Source organism: Homo sapiens, chromosome 8, assembly GCF_000001405.40.
Source record: "Homo sapiens chromosome 8, GRCh38.p14 Primary Assembly".
In the NCBI taxonomy this organism is placed as follows: Eukaryota; Metazoa; Chordata; class Mammalia; order Primates; family Hominidae; genus Homo; species Homo sapiens.
This window is the reverse complement of record NC_000008.11, coordinates 13,982,537-13,984,522: the sequence shown is the minus strand read 5'-3', so window position 1 is coordinate 13,984,522 and position 1,986 is coordinate 13,982,537. Positions and strand designations below refer to the sequence as shown.

The following is a 1,986-nucleotide window of genomic DNA, read 5'->3' as shown; positions in this document are numbered from 1 at the left end:
TAATTAAAATTGTACTAATTCAACCACTCTTAAGTTCTTATAAAAAATTGTTTATTTCTCGATAAAAAGTTTTACAAAAATCTCAAATAAGTATGACAAAAACATGACAGGAGCACCATTTTTAGGTTACATTAAACAAGTGGTCTTAGAAAATTATTGACTACATTTACACAAAGTTATCATCTTAATCATTTTTTCTTTTTTTTTTTTCACAGTCACAAGTAGAATTACACTGATAACCTTTGAAGCATCAAGTTAAAGACTGTGTGCTTTCTGACGTTACGTAAGACATGGAAGATGACTTTTTCATGCTACTTAAGGATGATGGACACTGAAATAATTATAAATGTAGAGATAGTGTAGATAGTGTTTGAAGCAAGAATTATTGCATCTTTTCTGTGATGAACATGAATATTTGCCGGTACTCATATCAATAATGAACCGTGAGTGTCTTCTGGTACAGAGGACATTGAACATTTTTTCAGCTCGTAGACAGATTTCCTGCTTCAAGGAAATTCTCAGTAGCTTGACTCCTTGGCTATATAGATTAGACACCTGTAAAAGGGCAGTAAAATACAAAACCAGAAAGCAGAGAAGAGAATATAGGGAAATAATGAAAATAACACCAACTCAAATATTGAGGGAAAATATATGTAAATGTATCAAAGGATACCAAGAAAATTTAGTACTTATAATAAATACACATGTCAACATTAATATCCATTTCAGAGTGTTCATAAATGTCTATGGGGCCATTTTTTATAGCTTATGAATTATGATTTTATGTGCATCTTTTAGCAATAAATACCTATTGTTTAACACAAATAAGCATAATTATAGCATCAGAAAGCATTTATAATGAGATTAGATATGTTGTGAAATATAAAATATAAAAATAAAACCTAAGGGCCGGGCACGGTGGCTCACGCCTGTGATCCCAGCACTTTAGGAGGCCAAGGTGGGCAGATCACGAGGTCAGGAGATCGAGACCATCCTGGCTAACACGGTGAAACCCTGTCTCTACTAAAAATACAAAAAAAAAAAAAATAGCTGGGCGTGATGGCGGGCGCCTGTAGTCCCAGCTACTCGGGAGGCTAAGAAAGGAGAATGGCGTGAACCCGGGAAGTGGAGCTTGCAGTGAGCCGAGATCGTGCCACTGCACTCCAGCCTGGGCAACAGAGCGAGACTCCATCTCAAAAAAATAATAATAATAAAATAAAAAAATAAAACCTAAGAATGAAAATTGATTTAACAAATATTAATAAAAAAAAATTACAATCTTAGATAAGGGAACATTTTAATAAATATCCCTCCTTTTACAACGCCATTGGTGAAACCCCGTACTGCATACCTAAGCAAAATGATCCTATATTATGCAAGAATAACAAAGAAAAAGAAGATTAAAAAGTAAAAATGCATGTACTGAAAAAAGCACATGAAAAATTCAAAGTTTATCAAAAGAGAAATGTAATATTTTATTTAATAATAACTCAAATTGCATTGGCTTGATAGAATTAGAGCAATGTATAATCAAAAAGCTAATTCATGCCTTTGACAGGAAGAATATAAAGAATGCATCTTTTACATTAAATTTGTCTTCTACAGCAACTCCCTAGAAATCTGAGCATGAGCAAAAGAAAACAAAATTATGTGTTTCCTTACATATGGCTTCTACCATTGTTCTACTTTAAATACTAATTTCACCTAATTAGTCCTTGCCTCAAGAATGTACAATAAAAATATATCATCCCAGTGACAAATCCAAGTTATGTTTTGTGTTTGTTTTGCAATTATTAAGTTAAATATTGTATTGGCATATTTTTGGAACAACTACTTAGGCAGCTGCTACTTTTATTTTCTCATTACTTCTCACTTTTTCAGTTTTAAATGGAAGCTGTAACAAATTATGTCCAAACTTTTTCATGCAAATTTTTATTTTTTATTTTTATAGACTATATTATAGAGCAGTTTTAAGTTCACAGCAAA

At 32.1% G+C, this 1,986-nt stretch overlaps 3 annotated features.

The window, feature by feature from the left end:
- Positions 1,281–1,450: an enhancer, noted in NCBI's record as "experimental_101568 CRE fragment used in MPRA reporter constructs". NCBI's record gives its function as "activates a minimal promoter by MPRAs in K562 erythroleukemia cells, with activity observed for both the introgressed and non-introgressed 8:13840667 variant alleles {active_cell/tissue: K562}" and the evidence as "EXISTENCE:reporter gene assay evidence [ECO:0000049][PMID:34662402]".
- Positions 1,281–1,524: a biological region, named in NCBI's record as "Neanderthal introgressed variant-containing enhancers experimental_101563 and experimental_101568".
- Positions 1,355–1,524: an enhancer, noted in NCBI's record as "experimental_101563 CRE fragment used in MPRA reporter constructs". NCBI's record gives its function as "activates a minimal promoter by MPRAs in K562 erythroleukemia cells, with activity observed for both the introgressed and non-introgressed 8:13840593 variant alleles {active_cell/tissue: K562}" and the evidence as "EXISTENCE:reporter gene assay evidence [ECO:0000049][PMID:34662402]".